This window comes from Homo sapiens, chromosome 12, assembly GCF_000001405.40.
Source record: "Homo sapiens chromosome 12, GRCh38.p14 Primary Assembly".
Taxonomy (NCBI): Eukaryota; Metazoa; Chordata; class Mammalia; order Primates; family Hominidae; genus Homo; species Homo sapiens.
The window spans coordinates 72,692,266-72,713,824 of NC_000012.12; the positions used below are offsets into that span (position 1 = coordinate 72,692,266).

At 42.9% G+C, this 21,559-nt stretch overlaps 1 annotated feature.

Moving 5' to 3' along the window:
- Positions 16,056–16,661: an enhancer, noted in NCBI's record as "OCT4-NANOG hESC enhancer chr12:73102101-73102706 (GRCh37/hg19 assembly coordinates)". NCBI's record gives its function as "activates a minimal SCP1, AML or CMV promoter by ChIP-STARR-seq in primed H9 embryonic stem cells {active_cell/tissue: H9 hESC(primed)}" and the evidence as "EXISTENCE:reporter gene assay evidence [ECO:0000049][PMID:30033119]".

Consider the following 21,559-nt stretch of genomic DNA (forward strand, 5'->3'; position numbering starts at 1 on the left):
CCCAGTGTCTGTAACTAGATTTATGACTGTCAGTTGAACATTCAGAGCACCAGAACACTTGATTAATTGCTACAGGGCATTTGTTATTTTATTAAGGTGTTTATAATTCAAAAGCAATGCACTAATCTCGTGGAGTGAAATGTGTTGATGTATTTTCATAGAATATCATCTGTTGCTGCCAGGAAGCTGAGAGGTCTGCATCAGTTACTTCCCCCATCCAATTCCAATTGTTTCATGCCCCCAAGTCACTCTTTTTATTTCTTTAGACTGGAAAGCTTATCTTGGTAGGATCACTGTTTTTCTCTCACTGAATTGTAAGCTCCATAAAAGCAAAGACCACTCTATTTCATGGAATAGTTCCTGGAACATGTGACGTAAGAACTCAATGCATTTTTGTAAAAGAAAGCAAATAATGAAATCCCATAATTAAAAACAATGAATAATAAGAAGTGTAGTGTTTTATTGAGAGAGTGAAAGGGAGTCTTACCCTGAACATTACCCATCTGATTATATATATATTTTATTGTATGGGAAAGTAGCTACCAGGAATTCTAAGTTATATGAAAACTCTTAATTTGTTCTGCAAATTTGTCTTCTAACTTTGGCTTTAATTCTTTTATTATTATTGTTTTTGTTTATTTTGCAATGATTTTGTTATGAGCTTATTGCTTGACTGAGGACAGGCTGTTATAGTTTAGAGAAAGGAATATGATTAAAAGGTATAATGCAGCTCAGTGGAAGCTTGGCTACTTAAACAGAGCTCAAGGCTGCACTATCCTGTATGAACCCTTTGGGTGAATTAAAAACAAACAAAAAAACAAACAAACAAACTTCCCTTGGGCAGACTAGACCAGTGGAGATGCCCCCACTGGCATCTCCAGTCTGTTTTATACACTGAACAAGCTGAACAGCTACACACAGCCATCCTGCCTGGTTGGTCATTGTCAAGTATACCAGTGTAACATCATTTTGGGCAATTCCTAAGACCTTCTTTAGCTTTTTGTTTCAATTTATTTATTTATTTTTTGTACCCACTTCCAAACTCCATACTCCTATTCCTCCAGACCTCTACTCTGAAGTCTGCCTCTGATAGCCTCACATTGAATGACCCTCTGAGTCACCTTCTACCATTTTGATTTTGGACATTTTTGCTATTTTTGTGGCTTTGTTTGCTTCTTTGGCCACCATGACCTTGATATCTGGGAATGAGATTCTCAGCTCTGGGCTTGGTGCAGCAGAATCCAAAACCCCACTCAGAGCAAGCCTACCCCAGCATCCTCGGGGAAGAGAGGAAATTAAAACAGCACCAAAGCTTTTAAATAATTTATGTAAATACCTCAAAAAACAACTTGAAATGTATCCATGTGATCAGAAGCATCAGACAAAGCTAGAGTCAATGTGATATTCTAAATGGCCATAGGACCTCACTGCATAAACTATCGGGCAAATTTGATTGCCTTTGGAGAAAAAAATACATTGAACCAGCTGAGAAGTAAAAAGAATTACATCATAAAAAGTTTCATTATGTGGAAATGGAAACTTTGCCTTATGGTAAAAAAAAAAAAAACAAAAACAAAAACAAAAAAACTCATGAATACATGTTTTACTAACAGTGATTGTTATTGACCACTCTTTGGCTGTACAAAGGGAGCAGGTATGGAAATGTACTGGGACATCTACCACACTTTAGTAATCCCATCCATTAAAGTACTCTAGGAAAATCATTATTATTAATAAACATCCTTCCTCTCAATATTTTCTTCTAAAGGTCTATTATTTCTAAAGATATTACAATAAAAACAATCTAAAATTTAAAATAATCTAAAAATTTTGGAAACAAAAACTAAGACTATCCCTTCCAACTCTGGCCATAGCTGTTAGAGTCTCATTAAATAATGCAAATACCTGTTCCCAAACATAGCTGTCTTCAGAAATTCCCTTTCCACCATCCATCACCCATCATGATGTTTTCATCAGCTGCTTCTAATGATTTTGTTGCTGCTTCTGACTTGAAATTTTAAGGAGATGAATGAATTGACAAATGGATGAATGAATGCATGCTAACTCAGAACTGTCTTGTTCTGAGTGGATGGAAGTCAGTCAGATAGCACTGATGGGGAATGTGAGAAAGAAGAGTGCTCTTCTTTGTCCATATTAATGAAACTCTGTCTTGTTATAACTCAATAATTTCAGCAACTGATGGGAGACAGATGGCTGCAGTGAACACAGGAATTTTAAAAGAGCTCAATGCTCAGGTTGCACAACATGTTGTTAAGAGCTTTGACATTTTTATCAAATGAACTTATATAATTTCACTGTAGATGGATTTTTAAAATTTATTTAAATGAAAGTAATGCATTAAAGTGGTAATAAACAATCTGAAGAATTGAAATTTTCCTTTTTCTAATCCAAACTCTTGACCAGCAATTTCAATCCTTGATGATAACAATAGCTCCCTGATTACAATCTTTCAAGTATCTTTCTAAAAATAATTGTAAAGATAAACAAGCACATTTGTGTGTGTATGTGTGTACATCTTTTTTATTTACACTAATGGGATAGTACTAAAATATATTATACACTTCACTTTTATCTGATAATAATATATTATTCAAATCATTTTAAACCAGGAAATTGAGATCTACTTCTGTTTATATATTTTCAAAATGTGTCTTAATTATATTCAAAGCATTGGTAAAGATTAAGTTTTACCTATCCTCCCACTTATACCTAGATGCAATTATTTTATAAACTATTTTTTGTTTTAAAATCATTTGGTGATTAAGCTACTATAGAATCACCTCTATAATAATCTTTAAACAATTACTTTTCAGTTCCTTTTATGAAGCATGACTATTTGTCTTGCTGACATTAATTCCTTCCCTCTCCTTCTAATTTTTGATAGCTATGTTGATTAGCTTTATAATTTTGAATAATAGATTTATTACTATTTCTTGTTCCATAATGTTCAGTTAGGGCCTAGGATTCCCTATAGTTATCTTACCTTCTGAGGCAAAGACTACACCAAAATGCATCCTCCTTTACTTCCACATTAAAACAGTTTTAGTTAAAATGTGGCTGCCCAACTAAGTACTATTATTCTCAGAAAGACTTGTTGCTAAATGTAATCATGTGAGAAAATTCTTGCTAATAAAACATGGTGTGGGAATGATATCTGTTAGCTTCTATACATTTGCTTAAAAGAATACTATTACCTTCTGTGATGGTTAATACAGAGTGTCAACTTGATTGGATTGAAGGATGCAAAGTATTGATCCTGAGTGTGTCTGTGATGCTGTTGCCAAAGGAGATTAACATTTGAGTCAGTGGGCTGCAAAAGGCAGACCCACCCTTAATCTGGGTGAGCACAATCTAATCAGCTGCCAGCATGGCCAAAATAAAAAGCAGACAGAAGAACGTGAAAAGACTAGACTGGCTTAGCCTCCCAGCCTACATCTTTCTCCCAAGCTGGATGCTTCCTGCCCTTGAATATTGGACTCCAAGTTCTTCAGCTTTAGGACTCAAACTGACTTTCCTTGCTTCTCAGCTTGCAGACGGCCTATTTTGGGACCTTGTGATCATGTGAGTTAATACTCCTTAATAAACCCCCATATATATATATACACACACACACACACACACACACACACACACATATATATACATACACACACATATACATGTGTATATATATACATGTATATACGTATATATACGTATATATGTATATATGTATATATACATGTATATATGTATATACATGTATATATACATACATACACACACATATACACACATATACATATACACACATATATATACATACACACACGCATGTATATACATATATACACACACATACATATCTCTCTCTCTCTCTCTCTCTATATATATATATATATATATATATATATTCTATTAGTTTTGTCCTTCTAGAGAACCCTGACTAATATACCTTCTATTGTTTTCACCTTTCTCTGGTTGAAAAGATGATCATTATGGTGGCTTGGAAGCCATACGTTGAATATTGTAAAACTTCCATAGTCTTGGACTCTGAAAGATGGCGTGGACCAGTTATTGACCAGGAATGTTGAGCATAACATGTGAGGAAAATAAACTTCTATCCTTTTTTGAGTCATAGCATTTTGGGAGGGTCTTTGTTATGATACCTTTTAAATCTAAGAAATAAAATTTTTTCTACCTCTGCCCATCTGTCTTTTCACATTCCATCAGATCTATCATATGCAGCACGTTCATGTCCTGCTCACATCCTCTTAGCACTCACTGTGTCACTGCATACCACAGGGCCCTCCTGCAAATGACTGCCACTTTCAGTCTCAAGGCTTTCCCTCCTCTCACCTCTGAAAGTAATAGGAAGTTACACCCCAGGAGCAGTCCTTGGCCACTGATGGACTGGAGTTTGAAGATAAATACTCCAGCTTTCCTGAAGATTTCCTTGGGAAACATCATTTTAGGCATGTTTTACATTGTCTCCTTGACTTCTCCAGCAAGATTGCATTCTAGTTGCCCACATATTTAACTTGATTGATAATACAGTCCTCTGTCCCTTATTTGTATTATTTCCTTCTTTCCCTGACAACACTTCTTGGGAACAACTCTCGAAACTCTCAAATAAGCTGCTTATCCTCAATTTTTTTTTTTTTTTTTTTTTTTTGAGACAGTTTTACTCTTGTTGTCCAGGCTGGAGTGCAATGGCACGATCTCAGCTCACCGCAACCTCTGCCTCCTGGCTTCAAGCAATTCCTCTGCCCCAGCCTTCTGAGTAGCTGGGATTACAGGCATGCACCCCTATGCCTGACTAATTCTGTATTTTCAGTAGAGACGGGGTTTCTCCATGTTGGTCAGACTGGTCTCAAACTCCCAACCTCAGGTGTTCCACTCACCTTGGCCTCCCAAAGTGCTGGGATTATAGGCATAAGCCACCGTGCCTGGCCTTATTTTTTGAGATATGCTAGTTGAGGAACTCAAGGTAGTATGCAAAGTTCTGATCCTAATCTATCCCTTGATTTAAAAAAAATAATCTGGAATTAGAGAGTTTGCCAGTCAGTTGGTGATAACAACTCCATCAGAAACTCTTTCTGAGCTCTTGTGAATGGCCTTTTGAGGTAACCCTTAGAACCAGCTAATACAGGAGCTAAACACCTGGGCCTGGATCAAGAGTGGTTTGCTTGATATGTTGGTGCAAGCAGAAAAAGGAAAACTACCGCATTTGCTACTCAGAGGTGGAAAGATAGCAGTGAGGAAAAGTCTTCCCTAATGGGCAAAACTTCATTTGGTACATCTTGTCATAAACTTTAGGGAAGGAAGAAATGGTCAGAGATAAAGAAACTCCTGGGAACTGGTGCATGACTTAGTAACTGATGGATGTTCACCCTGGCATGCACAGCATCACAATTGCTAAGGCTCTTACCTGTGATGAATTGTAATAAAATACCAGTGAAAAGGGATGCACTGGCTTATGCTATAGCTCTAGCCCTTGAGAGACATGGTGGAAATGATTATTATTTACATCTTGGAGTTGATTGACTATTGTTAACTGCCCCAGATATTTTGAAGGAAGACTATGAGAGGATCAGGTCAGCTACCAATTAACAAAGGGATTGTGCAAAAGCCGGAAAGCCTCCACAGCAATAATAAAGAGAATCACAAATCTTGCACAGAAGGGAACAGGATCTGCTGAAAATCAGAAATTCCTGATTTTAATTGTTGCGCTGTTATGCAGATTTAAATTTACAGTCCTCTTACATCATGTCAGGACTCTGAGAGGGAAGGAGTGGACCCTTAGAGCTAGATGAAGATACTTGGGTGCATGGACATGAAAAGCTTGAATTCCCATATTATCCCAGGTATTCTACATCAGCAAGAGTCCCCCCATCTCACCACCACTCCTCTCAAGAAAAGAGAATCCAACCCTTCCTTATTTGCATGCTTACCTTCCTCAAGATCTTCCACTGCTTCACCCCATTGCCTTTAGACCAATAAGTAGAGTTGTTTCGGCATGGCCCAAGTAATGAAATACTGTAATGGAACAAAAGGAAAAGAATAGTTTACCAAAAGAGCAGTAGGAACTGGTAGAAATATACTACCAGAAATTGGGAGAATATGCCTCATAATTAATCTTGAAATGCTATACCAGGGGTAGGGGATGGGAGAATGGAATATAAGGCTAGATAGTGAACACTAAGAATGTATTAGTCCATTTTTGGCTGGACGTGGTGGCTCATGCCTGTAATCCCAGCACTTTGGGATTACCCGAGGCGGGTGGATCACAAGGTCAGGAGATTGAGACCATCCTGGCTATCATGGTGAAACCCTGTCTCTACTAAAAATACAAAAATAAAAATAAAAAAAATTAGCCAGGCGCGGTGGCAGGCGCCTGTAGTCCCAGCTACTCAGGAGGCTGAGGTAGGAGAATGGCATGAACCCGGGAGGCAGAGCTTGCAGTGAGCTGAGATCGCGCCACTGCACTCCAGCCTGGGTGACAGAGCAAGACTCCTTCTTAAAAAAACAAACAAACAAAAAACACAATGTATTAGTCCATTTTCATACTGCTATGAAGTTATACCTGAGACTTGGTAATTTATAAAGAAAAAGAGGATTAATGAATTCACAGTTCCACATGGCTGGGGAAGCCTCATGGAAGGTAAGGAGGAACAAAGACACATCTTACATGGTGACAGGCAAGAGAGTGTGTGCAGGGGAACTGTCCTTTATAAAACCATCAGATCTCATGAGACTTACTGACTAGCATGAGAACAGCACAGGCAAAACCTACCCCCATGATTCAGTTACCTCCCCATGACATGTGGGGATTATGGGAATGACAATTCAAGATGAGATTTGGGTGGGGATACAGCTAAACCATATCATGCCACCACTGACCCCTGACAAATCTCATGTCCTCACATTTCAAAACCAAACATGCCTTCCCAACAGCCCCTCAAAGTCTTAACTCATTTCAGCATTAACTCAAAAGTCCACAGTCCGAAGTCTCATCTGAGACAAAACAAGTGTCTTCTACCTATGATCCTGTAAAATCAAAAGCAAGTTGGTAGCTTCTTAGATACAATGGGGATACAGGCACTGGGTAAATACACCCATTCCAGATTGGAGAAATTGGATAAAATGAAGGGGCTACAGGCCCCATGCAAGTCCAAAATCCAGTGAGGCAGTCAATCTTAAGGCTCCAAAATGATCTCCTTTGACTCTGTCTCACATCCGTTCACACTGATGCAAGATGAGGGTTCCCATGGTTTTGGGCAGTTCTGCCCCAGTGGCTTAGCAGGGTATAGCACCCCTCCTGGATGCTTTCATGGGCTGGCATTGAGTGTCTGTGGCTTTTCCAAGTGCATGGTGCAAGCTTTCAGTGGATGTACCATTCTGTGGTTTGGAGGATGGTGGCCCTCTTCTCAGAGCTCCACCAGGTAGTGCCCCAGTGGGGACTCTGTGTGGGAGCTCTTACCCCACATTTCCCTTCTGTACAGCCCTAGCAGAGGTTCTCCATGAGAATTCCACCCCTGCAGCACACCTCTGCCTGGACACCCAGGTGTTTCCATACATCCTCTGAAATCTAGGTGTAAGGTTCCTAAACCTCAGTTCTTGATATCTATGTCCCCTTAGGCATAACACCATGTGTAAGCTACCAAGGTTTGGGGCTTGCAATCTATGAAACAGTGACTTGAGCTGGATATTGGTCCCTTTTAGCCATGGCTGGAATGCAGGGCACCAAGTCCCGAGACTGCACAAAGCAGCAAGGCCCTGGGCCTGGCCCACAAAACCATTTTTCCCTCCTAGGCCTCCTGGCTTGTGATGCGAGGGCTGCGATGATGTCCTGGAGACATTTTCTGCATTATCATGGCAATTAACGTTTGGCTCCTTATTACTTATGCAAATTTCTGCAGCCAGCTTGAATTTCTTCTCAGAAAATGGTATTTTTCTTTTCTATCACATTGTCAGGCTACAAAGTTTTCAAACTTTTATATTGAGCATCCCTTTTAAGCATAAGTTCCAATTACAAACCATATATTTGTGAATGAATAAAACTGAATGCTTTTAAGAGCACTCAAGTCACATCTTGAAACCTTTGCTGCTTAGAAATTTTTTCCATCAGATATCCTCAATCATCTCTCTCAAGTTAAAAGTTCACAGATTTCTAGGGCAGGGACAAAATGCCACCAGTCTCTTTGCTGAAGCATATAGCAAGAATCATATTTACTCTAGTTCCTTACTTCCATCTGAGACCACCTCAGTCTGGACTTTTTGGTGAAGACCATTCAACAAGTCTCTAGGAAGCTCCAAACATTGCTGCCTCTTTTTGTCTCCTTCTGAGCCTTCCAAAGTGTTCCATTCTCTACGTGTTACCCAGTTCCAAAGTTACTTCCAAATTTTCAGGTATCTTAATAGCAGTACCCCACTCTTGTTACCAATTTACTATATTAGTCTATTTTCATACAGCTATGAAGAAATACCTGAGACTGGGTGGTTTAAAAAGAAAATGAGGTTTAATGGACTCACAATTCCACATGGCTGGGGAGGCCTTACAATCATGACAGAAGGCAAAGGAGGAGCAAAGGCATGTCTTCTATGGTGGCAGGCAAGAGAGTGTGTGCAGGGGAATTGCCCTGTATAAAACCATCAGATCTTGTGAGACTTATTCACTATCACAAGAACAGCATGGAAAAAACCCACCCCTATGATTCAATCACCTCCTACTGGGTCCCTCACATGGCACATGGGATTATGAGAGCTACAATTTGAGATGACATTTGAGTGGGGATACAGCCAAACCATATCAATGGATATGGGGGAGTAGTCTGTCATAACTCAGGATTAAAATTCTGGAAATGTGATCATGAGCTGCTTCTATCATATTATTGGGATAACTGTTTAAAGCTTGGAATGGCAGCCTAAAGTAAATAAACTTGCTTTAGCAGAGTGTGACAGAAGGGGTGAAAACCTCAGAGAACCAATCAGGTTAAAATGAATTTATTATCTAACTCTGGAAAATATATCATCTGAGTATGTTTCCTGGAAGGACCTAGAGGACACTCTTTTTACTAAAATGATAAGGAATTCACCACTGACAAAGGTGCCAACATTGATGACAAGTATACTTGTGGCTGTGTCTATGGTTCTGGGTTGATGATAGAAGATTTTTATATGGAACTTGTGCCTTTGGGGGCAATATGGATAACAAAATCATGCCATATTTGATATCAGGTGACAGCACCTAACCATCAGTTGCAAAGCATATCTACTTATAATGATGGGTAGAAAGGTCTGGATGACATGCAGAGGACCTACATTGTAGATCTATTATACGTAATCAGTCATAGAGCTAGGGATGAGATAGACAGGTAGCCAGCAACCAGCATGATTTGACCTGTATCGGGGTCAGCTGACTACAGCCTGTGGGTGAAATCTAGTCTTTTGTCTGTGAAACATGACCATGTCCATTTATTTACCTACTGTTTATGTCTGTTTTGTGCTACAATGGCAAAGTTAAGTAGATAAAACAGAAACTGTATGGCCTACAAAACCGTGAAATATTTACTGTCTAGCCCTTTACAGGAGAAGTTAGGACCCTGACCTATATAATCAAAGAAGGTCAAGAACAAGTGAGAAGATTGATGTCAGCCTCTATAATGGAAAATCACAATCCTTGTTTCCAGACCTTAGCCAGTTTTCAGACTCAGAATTATTGACTGAAGGAGAGAAAGAACTCAGGAGATGAAATATACATAAAAGGCAATAGCAACCCACACCACCATTCCTTTGTCTCTAATAAGATAGCATACATTGCGAAAAGGAGAAATACATAGATCTCCTGAGACAGCACTTAGATACAGATTCTGTGCTGACATTAACACCAGAGTACCATAAAATCAACATGGACACCCTTGTCAAGGGAGGCATACAGAGGCCAAGTGATAAATGAAGTCCTAATTCACATCCCTTTCACACGCATACAGTGTAGTAATTTTTCTGGTATCTAAAGGAATGTTCAGTTTGGATAAAGTTTCTAGATGTATAAACCTCACATTGGTTCCTTCACCAGAGACTCTTGTTTGTTGTTTGTACCAATGAACTCTTCCTAAGCTCACAGACACATTGTCTTTGAGGATTCCTTGGGAATAGCTGATGGAATTGCAAAACACCTAGGCCTGGATCATGGACAGAATGTTTAAATGTTTGTTCAACCAAAGAAAGTACTTCTGTCACACTGCTGTCACTTGGGGTGGCACTAAAAGTTGGCAGTGAATGAAAAGTTTTCTACTGGGCAGAGGCTTACTCAGTATATTTGACAGTAATTTTATGTTAAGAAAGAAGTGGTTTGAGATACTCAAAATACTGGGAAGAACTGAGTAGCTTGACAGCTTGTTCAGGAATCTGCAAAATGCAGGTGTTGATTGAAAACAAGAAGATATAGGTAAGAGGCATGCAAATGGACACATATGGGAGTGATTTAAAGGCTTGTTAATTTTTTTTTTTTTTTTGCTTTGGGACAGTTTTCACTAGATGTGTAAGTTTCAAAGAAGCTACTAAAATCAGATGGACTGAGTTACTAATTTCATATACACTAGCCAGCCTCTGTTCTTCTAACCTAGTACTTACACGAGTGGCCCATGAATAGAGAAGTCATGTTGGCAGGGATTTGGGCTGTGTAAAAGACCAATAGCATGAGTTCCCTTTTGCCAAGGATTATCTGCTGCTGAATGTCAGACTGCAGAGGTATCACACAGCTACAGAGTTATCACTAAACTGCCAATACGGTATCATCTTTTGAGGAATCCAACCCGTCACTTGGTGGCTAATTATATTGACAACAGTTCTTCCTTACTGATATTGATATGCCTCCCCTGCCTATAGTGCCTCAGCTAATAGCATTGTCTGAAAGTTCAAAGAGTATCTGATTTATTGTTAAAGGTTCCTCATTGTCAGGCCTTTGAGCCCAAGCCAAGCCATCGCATCCCCTGTGACTTGCACGTATAGGCCCAGATGGCCTGAAGTAACTGAAGAATCACAAAAGAAGTGAATATGCCCTGCCCCACCTTAACTGATGACATTCCACCACAAAAGAAGTGTAAATGGCTTGTCCTTGCCTTAAGTGATGACATTACCTTGTGAAAGTCCTTTTCCTGGCTCATCCTGGCTCAAAAAGCACCCCCACTGAGCATCTTGTGACCCCCACTCCTGCCTGCCAGAGAAAAAACCCCGTTTGACTGTAATTTTCCTTTACCTACCCAAATCCTATAAAACGGCCCCACCCTTATCTCCCTTCACTGACTCTCTTTTCCGACTCAGCCCGCCTGCATCCAGGTGAAATGAACAGCCATGTTGCTCACACAAAGCCTGTTTGGTGGTCTCTTTACACGGACACGCATGAAATTTGGTGCTGTGACTCAGATCGGGGGACCTCCCTTGGGAGATCAATCCCCTGTCCTCCTGTTCTTTGCTCCATGAGAACGATCCACCTACGACCTCAGGTCCTCAGACCCACCAGCCCAAGGAACATCTCACCATTTTTAAATCAGGTAAGCGGCCTCTTCTTACTCTCTTCTCCAACCTCTCTCACTGTCCCTCAACCACTTTCTCCTTTCCACTCTTCAATCTCTCCCTTCTCTTAATTTCAATTCATTTCATTTTCTGGGAGAGACAAAGGAGACACGTTTTATCTGTGGACCCAAAACTCCGGCACCGGTCACGGACTGGGAAGGCAGCCTTCCCTTGGTGTTTAATCATTGCAGGGACGCCTCTCTGATTATACACCCACGTTTCAAGGGTGTCAGACCACACAGGGACGCCTGCCTTGGTCCTTCGCCCTTATCAGCAAGTCCCACTTTTCTGGGGAAGGGGCAAGTACCTCAATCCCTTCTCTCCTTGTCTCTACCACTTCTCTGCTTTTCCGGGGACAGGGCAAGTACTCCAACCCCTTCTCTCCTTGTCTCTACCCCTTCTCTGCTTTTCTGGGAGAGGGGCAAGTACCCCTCAACCCCTTCTCCTTCACTCTTAGCAGCAAGTCCCGCTTTTCTAGATGAGGGGCAAGTACCTCAACCTTGTATCTCTGCGCCCCAATCCCTTATTTCCACGCCCCAACCTCTTATATCTCTGCGCCCCAATCCCTTATTTCTGTGCCCTGACCCCTTATTTCCATGCCCCTACCCCTTATTTCTGCACCCCATCCCTTATTTCCATGCCCCGACCTCTTATCTCTGTGCCCCAACCCCTTTTCCCACTTTTCTGGAAGGTAAGAACCCCCAAACCGCTTCCCTCCATTTCTCTACTCTCTTTTTTCTCTAGGCTTGGTTCCTTCACTATAGGCAATCTTCCACCCTCCATTCCTCCTTCTACTCCCTTGGCCTGTGTTCTCAAAAACTTAAAACCTCTTCAACTCACACCTGACCTAAAACCTAAATGCCTTATTTTCTTCTGCAATGCTGCTTGACCCCAATACAAACTCGACAGTAGTTCCAAATAGCCAGAAAATGGCACTTTGAATTTTTCCATCCTGCAAGATCTAAATAATTCTTGTTGTAAAATAGGCAAACGGTCTGAGGTGCCTGATGTCCAGGCATTCTTTTACACATCAGTCCCTTCCTAGTCTCTGTGCGCAGTGCAACTCGTCCCAAATATTCCTTCTTTCCCTCCCGCCTGTCCCCTCAGTACCAACCCCAAGCATCGCTGAGTCTTTCTAATCTTCCTTTTCTACAGACCCATCTGACCTCTCCCTTGCTCCCCAGGCTGCTCCTCGCCAGGCCGAGCTAGGTCCCAATTCTTCCTCAGCCTCTGCTCCTCCACCCTATAATCTTTTTATCACCTCCCCTCCTCACACCTGGTCCGGCTTACAGTTTTGTTCCGTGACTAGCCCTCCCCCACCTGCCCAGCAATTTCCTCTTAAAAAGGTGGCTGGAGCTAAAGGCATAGTCAAGGTTAATACTCCTTTTTCTTTATCCCAAATCAGAAGCGTTTAGGCTCTTTTTCATCAAATATAAAAATCCAGCCCAGTTCATGACTTGTTTGGCAGCAACCCTGAGATGCTTTACAGCCCTAGATGCCAAAATGTCAAAAGGCCGTCTTATTCTCAAAATACATTTTATTACCCAATCTGCTCCTGACATTAAATAAAACTCCAAAAATTAAATTCCAGCCCTCAAACCCCACAACAGGACTTAATTAACCTCGCCTTCAAGGTGTACAATAATAGAAAAAAGTTGCAATTCCTTGCTTCCACTGTGAGACAAACCCCAGCCACATCTCCAGCACACAAGAACTTCCAAACGCCTGAACTGCAGTGGCCAGGCATTCCTCCAGAACCTCCTCCCACAGGAGCTTGCTACATGTGCTGGAAATCTGGCCACTAGGCCAAGGAGTGCCCGCAGCCCGGGATTCCTCCTAAGCCACGTCCCATCTTTGTGGGACCCCACTGAAAATCGGACTGTTCAACTCACCTGGCAGCCACTCCCAGATCCCCTGGAATTCTGGCCCAAGGCTCTCTGACTGACTCCTTCCCAGATCTTCTCGGCTTAGCGGCTGAAGACTGACACTGCCCATTCGCCTCGGAAGCCCCCTAGACCATCTCGGATGCCAAGCTTCGGGTAACTCTCACAGTGGAAGGTAAGCCCGTCCCCTTCTTAAGCAATGTGGAGGCTACCCACTCCACATTACCTTCTTTTCAAGGGCCTGCTTCCCTTGCCACCATAACTGTTGTGGGTATTGACGGCCAGGCTTCTAAACCTCTTAAAACTCCCCAACTCTGGTGCCAACTTAGACAATACTCTTTTAAGCACTCCTTTTTAGTTATCCCCACCTGCCCAGTTCCCTTATTAGGCTGCGACCCTTTAACTAAATTATCTGCTTCCCTGACTATTCCTGGACTACAGCTACATCTCATTGCCGCCCTTCTTCACAATCCAAAGCCTCCTTTGCGTCCTCCTCTTGTATCCCCCCACCTTAACCCACAAGTATAAGATACCTCTACTCCTTCCTTGGCGACCGATCATGCACCCCTTACCATCTCATTAAAACCTAATCACCCTTACCCCACTCAATGCCAATATCCCATCCCGCAGCACGCTTTAAAAAGATTAAAGCCTGTTATCACTCGCCTGCTACAGCATGGCCTTTTAAAGCCTATGAACTCTCCTTATAATTCCCCCATTTTACCTGTCCTAAAACCAGACAAGCCTTACAAGTTAGTTCAGGATCTGCGCCTTATCAACCAAATTGTTTTGCCTATTCACCCTGTGTTGCCAAACCCATATACTCTCCTATCCTCAATACCTGCCTCTACAACCCATTATTCTGTTCTAGATCTGAAACATGCTTTCTTTACTATTCCTTTGCACCCTTAATCCCAGCCTCTCTTTGCTTTCACTTGGACTGACCCTGACACCCATCAAGCTCAGCAAATTACCTAAGCTGTACTGCCACAAAGCTTCACAGACAGCCCCCATTACTTCAATCAAGCCCAAATTTCTTCCTCATCTGTTACCTATCTCGGCATAATTCTCATAAAAACACACGTGCTCTCCCTGCCAATCGTGTCCGACTGATCTCTCAAACCCCAGCACCTTCTACAAAACAACAACTCCTTTCCTTCCTAGGTATGGTTAGCGCGGTCAGAATTCTTACACAAGAGCCAGGACCACACCCTGTAGCCTTTCTGTCCAAACAACTTGACCTTACTGTTTTAGCCTAGTCCTCATGTCTGCCTGCAGCAGCTGCCACTGCTTTAATAGTTTTGGAGGCCCTCAAAATCGCAAACTATGCTCAACTCACTCTCTACAGTTCTCATAACTTCCAAAATCTATTTTCTTCCTCATACCTGACGCATATACTTTCTGTGCCCCGGCTCCTTCAGCTGTACTCACTCTTTAAGTCCCACAATTACCATTGTTCCTGGCCCTGACTTCAATCTGGCCTCCCACGTTATTCCTGATACCACACCTGACCCCCATGGCTGTATCTCTCTGATCCACCTGATATTCACCCCATTTCCCTATATTTCCTTCTTTCCTGTTCCTCACCCTGATCACGCTCAGTTTATTGATGGCGGTTCCACCAGGCTTAATCGCCACACACCAGCAAAGGCAGATTATACTATAGTATAAGCCACTAGCCCGCCTCTTAGAACCTCTCATTTCCTTTCCATCGTGGAAATCTGTCCTCAAGTAAATAACTTCTCAGTGTTCCATCTGCTATTCTACTACTCCTCAGGGATTATTCAGGCCCCCTCCCTTCCCTACACATCAAGCTTGAGGATTTGCCCCACCCAGGACTGGCAAATTAGCTTTACTCAACATGCCCTGAGTCAGATAACTAAAATACCTCTTAGTCTAGGTAGATACTTTCACTGGATAGGTAGAGGCCTTTCCTACAGTGTCTGAGAAGGCCACCGCAGTCATTTCTTCCATTCTGTCAGACATAATTCCTCAGTTTAGCCTTCCCACCTCAATACAGTCTGATAACAGACGAGCCTTTATTAGTCAAATCAGCCAAGCCATTTTTCAGGCTCTTAGTATTCAGTGAAACCTTTATATCCCTTACGGTCCTCCATCTTCAGGAAAGGTAGAATGGACTCGTGGTCTTTTAAAAACACACCTCACCAAGCTCAGCCACCAACTTAAACAGGATTGGATAATACTTTTACCACTTTCGCTTCTCAGAATTCAGACCTGTCCTCAGAATGCTACAAGGTACAGCCCATTTAAGCTCCTGTATAGACGCTCCTTTTTATTAGGCCCCAGTCTCATTCGACACCAGACCAACTTAGACTGTGCCCCAAAAAAACTTGTCATCCCTACTATCTTTTGTCTAGTCATACTCCTATTTACCGTTCTCAACTACTCATAAATGCCCTGCTCTTGTTTACACTGCCGGTTTACACTGTTTCTCCAAGCCATCACAGCTGATATATACCTTTTATACCTTTATTTCTCCTTCTCTTATTCCATGTAGTTTTTCAGTTCATACAAAACCGTATCCAGGCCATCACCAATCATTCTATACGACAAATGTTTCTTCTAACAACCCCACAATATCACCCCTTACCACAAGACCTCCCTTCAGCTTAATCTCTCCCACTCTAGGTTCCCACGCCGCCCCTAATCCCGCTTGAAGCAGCCCTGAGAAACATCGCCCATTCTCTCTCCTTACCACCCCCCAAAAATTTTCGCCGCCCCAACACTTCAACACTATTTTGTTTTATTTTTCTTATTAATATAAGAAGGCAGGAATGTCAGGCCTCTGAGCCCATGCCAAGCCATCGCATCCCCTGTGACTTCCACGTATAGGCCCAGATGGCCTGAAGTAACTGAAGAATCACAAAAGAAGTGAATATGCCCTGCCCCACCTTAACTGATGACATTCCACCACAGAAGAAGTGTAAATGGCTGGTCCTTGCCTTAAGTGATGACATTACCTTGTGAAAGTCCTTTTCCTGGCTCATCTGGCTCAAAAAGCACCCCCACTGAGCACCTTGCGACCCCCACTCCTGCCTGCCAGAGAACAAACCCCGTTTGACTGTAATTTTCCTTTACCTACCCAAATCCTATAAAACGGCCCACCCCATCTCCCTTCACTGACTCTCTTTTCAGACTCAGCCCGCCTGCACCCAGATGAAATAAACAGCCTTGTTGCTCACACAAAGCCTGTTTGGTGGTCTCTTCACACGGACGCGCATGAAAGATATTATATGAGTTTCTATATGAATTTCATGCATTTACACTTCTTTTGTGGTGGAATGTCATCAGTTAAGGCAGGAACTGGCCATCTGGATGTGTATGTGCAGGTCACAGAGGATATGATGGCTTAGCTTGGGCTCAGAGGCCTGACATTCCTGTCTTCTTATATTAATAAGAAAAATAAAGTGAAATAGAGGTAAAATGTTGGGACGGTGAAAATTTTTGGGGGGTGGTATGGAGAGATAATGGGCAATGTTTCTCAGGGCTGCTTCGAGCGGGATTAGGGGTGGTGTGGGAACCTAGAGTGGGAGAGATTAAGCTGAAGGAAGATTTTGTGGTAAGGGGTGATATTGTGGGGTTGTGAGAAGAAACATTTGTCATTTAGAATTATTGGTGATGGCCTGGATACGGTTTTGTATGAATTGAAAAACTAAATGGAATAAGAGAAGGAGAAAAACAGGTATAAAGGTCTAAGAACTGGGAGGACCTAGGACATTTAATTAGAGAGTGCCTAAGGAGATTCAGCATAGCCCTGCCAGCAGAGATTATTTATTTGCTTCAAGAGTTAAGAGTGGCAGTTTGGGGATAGCACCAGGAGATATCAACTGTGGTGGCTTAGAGAAATAGTGTAAACTGGCAGTGTAAACAAGAGCAGGGCATGTATGAGTAGTTGAGAATGGCGAATAGGAGTATGACTAGACAGAATATACTAGGGATGACAAGTGTTTTGGGGCAGAGTCCAAGTTGGTCTGGTGTCTGGAATGAGACTGGGGCCTAATAAAAAGGAGCATCTATACTGGAGCTTAAATGGGCTGTACCCTGTAGCATTCTGAGGACAGGCCTGAATTCTGAGAAGGGAAATTGGTAAAAGTATTGTCTAGTCCTTTTTAAGTTGGTGGATGAACTTGGTGAGGTATGTTTTTAAAAGACCACGAGTCCATTCTACCTTTCCTGAAGACTGAGTACTGTAAGGGATATAAAGGTTTCACTGAATACCAAGAGCCTGAAAAAAATGCTTGGCTGATTTGACTAATAAAGGCCGGTCTGCTATCAGACTGTATAGAGGTGGGAAGGCCAAACCGAGGAATTATGTCTGACAGAAGGGAAGAAATGACCGTGGTGGACTTCTTAGACCCTGTGGGAAAGGCCTCTACCTATCCAGTGAAAGTGTCTACCTAGACCAAGAGGTATTTTAGTTTCCTGACTTGGGGCATGTTGAGTAAAGCTAATTTGCCAGTCCTGGGCGGGGGCAAATCCCTGAGCTTTATGTGTAGGGAAGGCAGGGGGCCGGAATAATCCCTGAGAAGTAGTAGAATAGCAGATGGAACACTGAGAAGTTATTTCTTTGAGGATAGATTTCCACGATGGAAAGGAAATGAGAGGTTCTAAGAGGCGGGCTAGTGGCTTGTACTATAGCATAGCCTGCCTTTGCTGGTGTGTGGTGATTAGGCCTGGTGGAACTGCCATCAATAAACTGAGCGTGATCAGGGTGAGGAACAGGAAAGAAGGAAATATGGGGAAATGGGATGAATGTCAGGTGGATCAGAGAGATACAGCCATGGGGGTCAGGTGTGGTATCAGGAATAATGTGGGAGGCCAGATTGAAGTCTGGGCCAGGAACAATGGTAATTGTGGGAGATTTAACAAAGAGTGAGTACAGCTGAAGGAACCAGGGAGCGGAAACTATATGTGTCAGGTGTGAGGAAGAAAATAGATTTTGGAAGTTATGAGAACTGTAGAGAGTGAGTTGAGTATAGTTTGTGATTTTAAGGGCCTCTAAAATTATTAGGGCAGTGGCGGCCACTGCACGCAGACTTGAGGGCTAGGCAAAACAGTAAGGTCAAGTTTTGGATAAAAAGGCTACAGGGCACGGTCCCGGTTCTTGTGTAAGAATTCTGACTACACAGCCTTGCACTTCAGCTGTGGATAATGAAAAGGGTTGGGATCAGTCAGGGAGAGCTAGGGTGGGGGCAGTTTCTAAAGCTGTCTTCAAGGAACAGATAGAGGAGTGGGGGAAAGGATTTAGGGTCTATGGGGTCAGCTAGGTTTCCTTTTGTGAGTTATATAATGGTTTTGTTAGGATGGCAAAACCAGGTATCTAAAGTCGAAAGTATCAAGCCATTCCTAGGAAGGAAAAGAGTTGTTATTTTGTAGAAGGTGCTGGAGTTTGAGACATCAGTCGGACATGATCGGCAGGGAAAGCACATGTGTTTTTATGAGAATTATGCCAAGATAGGTAACAGATGAGGAAGAAATTTGGGCTTGACTGAAGTAATGGGGGCTGTCAGTGAAGCTTTGCGGCAGTATAGCCCAGGTAATTTGCTGAGCCTGATGAGTGTCAGGGTCAGTCCAAGTGAAAGCGAAGAGAGGCTGGGATGAAGGATGCAAAGGAATAGTAAAGAAAGCATGTTTCAGATCCAGAACAGAATAATAGGTTGTGGAGGGAGGTATTGAGGATAGGAGAGTATATGGGTTTGGCACCATGGGGTGGATAGGCAAAACAAATTGGTTGATAAGGCGCAGATCCTGAACTACTAACCTGTAAGTCTTGTCTGGTTTTAGGACAGGTAAAATGGGGAATTGTAAGGGGAGTTTATAGGCTTTAAAAGGCCATACTGCAGCAGGCGAATGACAACAGACCTTAATCCTTTTAAAGCGTCCTGTGGGATGGGATATTGCCATTGAGTGGGGTAAGGGTGATTAGGTTTTAATGAGATGGTAAGGGGTGCATGATCAGTCGCCAAGGAAGGAGTAGAGGTATCCGAAACTTGTGGGCTAAGGTGGGGAGATACAAGGGGAGGATGTGAAGGAGTCTTTGAACTGGGGGAAAAGGCAGCAATGAGGTGTGGCTGTAGCCCAGGAATAGTCAGGGAAGCAGATAATTTAGTTAAAGTGTCTCGGCCTAATAAGGGAACTGGGCAGGTGGGGATAACTAAAAAGGAGTGCTTAAATGAGTATTGTCTAAGTTGGCACCAGAGTTGGGGAGTTTTAAGAGGTTTAGAAGCCTGGCTGTCAATAACCACAACAGTTATGGAGGCAAGGGAAACAGGCCCTTGAGAAGAAGGTAATGTGTGGAGTGGGTAGCCTCTGTATTAAGAAGGGGACGGACTTACCTTCCATTGTGAGAGTTACCCGAAGCTCGGCGTCCCTGATGGTTTAGGGGGCTTCTGAGGCAATCAGGCAGTGTCAGCCTTCAGCCGCTAAGCCAAGAAGATCTGGGAAGGAGTCAGAGAGCCTTGGGCCAGAGTTCCAGGGCTCTGGGAGTGGCTGCCAGGTGAGTTGAACAGTCCGATTTTCAGTGGGGTCCCGCAGAGATGGGACGCGGCTTAGGAGGAATCCCCGACTGTGGGCATTTCTTGGCCCAGTGGCCAGATTTCTGGCACTTGTAGCAAGCTCCTGTGGGAGGAGGTTCTGGAGGAACGCCTGGCCACTGTGGTTCAGGTGTTTGGAAGTTCTTGTGTGCTGGAGATGTGGCTGGGGTTTGTCTCAGAGTGGAAGCGAGGAATTGCAACTTTTTTCTATTATTGTACATCTTGAAAGCTAGGTTAATTAAGTCCTGTTGTGGGGTTTGAGGGCTGGAATTTAATTTTTGGAGCTTTATTTAAAGGCAGGAGCAGATTGGGTAATAAAATGTATATTGAGAATAAGACGGCCTTTTGACCTTTTAGGGTCTAGGGCTGTAAAGCATCTCAGGGTTGCTGCCAAATGAGCCATGAAGTGGGCTGGGTTTTTCATATTTGATGAAAAAGAGCCTAAATGCTAACTGATTTGGGAGAGGTCGGATAAAGAAAAAGGAGCATTAACCTTGACTATGCGTTTAGCTCCAGCCACATTTTTAAGAGGAAATTGCTGGGCAGGTGGGGGAGGGCTAGTCGTGGAATGAAACTGTAAGCCAGATAGGGTGTGAGGGGGGGAGGTCATAAAAAGATTATTGAGTGGAGGAGCAGAGCCTGAGGAAGAATTGGGACCTAGCTCGGCCTGGTGAGGAGCAGCCTGGGGAGGAGGGGAGAGGTCAGATGGGTCTGTAGAAGAGGAAGATTAGGAAGACTCAGCGATGCTTGGGGTTGGGACTGGGGACAGGCGAGAGGGAAAGAAGGAGGATTTGGGATGATTCACATTGGGAACAGAGACTAGGGAGGGAACAATGTGTAAAAGAATGCCTGGACGTCAGACCATTTGCCCATTTTACAACAAGAATTATTTAGATCTTGTAGGATGGAAAAATTGAAAGTGCCGTTTTCTGGCTATTTGTAACCACTGTCAAGTTTGTACTGGGGTCAAGCAGCATTGTAGAAGAAAATAAGGCATTTAGGCTTTAGGTCAGGTGTGACTTGAAGAGGTTTTAAGTTCTTAAGAACACAGGCTAAGGGAGAAGAAGGAGGAGAAGAAGGAAGGTTGCCCATAGTAAAGGAGGCAAGTTTAAAGAGAAGTGTAGAGACAGGGAGAAGGGGGTGGGGAGCAGCCCTGGGCTGCAACATGGGTGATCAGCCAAAGCAGGCGTCCCCGCAATTGACTTGCCACCAAGGGAACGTGGGTGAATGATCAAGGCAGGCATCCCCATGGAGATCAGACACCAATGGAAAATGGGTGAATAGTCAGAGAAGAGTCCCCGCAGTGATTCAACACCAAGGGAAGGCTGCCTTCCCAAGTCCGTGACCGGCGCCGGAGTTTTGGGTCCATGGATAAAATGTGTCTCCTTTGTCTCTACCAGAAAATGAAAGGAATTGAAATTAAGAGAAGGGAGAGATTGAAGTGTGGCGCCAAGATTGAAAGGAGAAAGAGGTTGAGGGATAGTGAGGGAGGTTGGAGAAGAGAGTAAAAAGAGGCTGCTTACCCGATTTAAAATTGGTGAGATG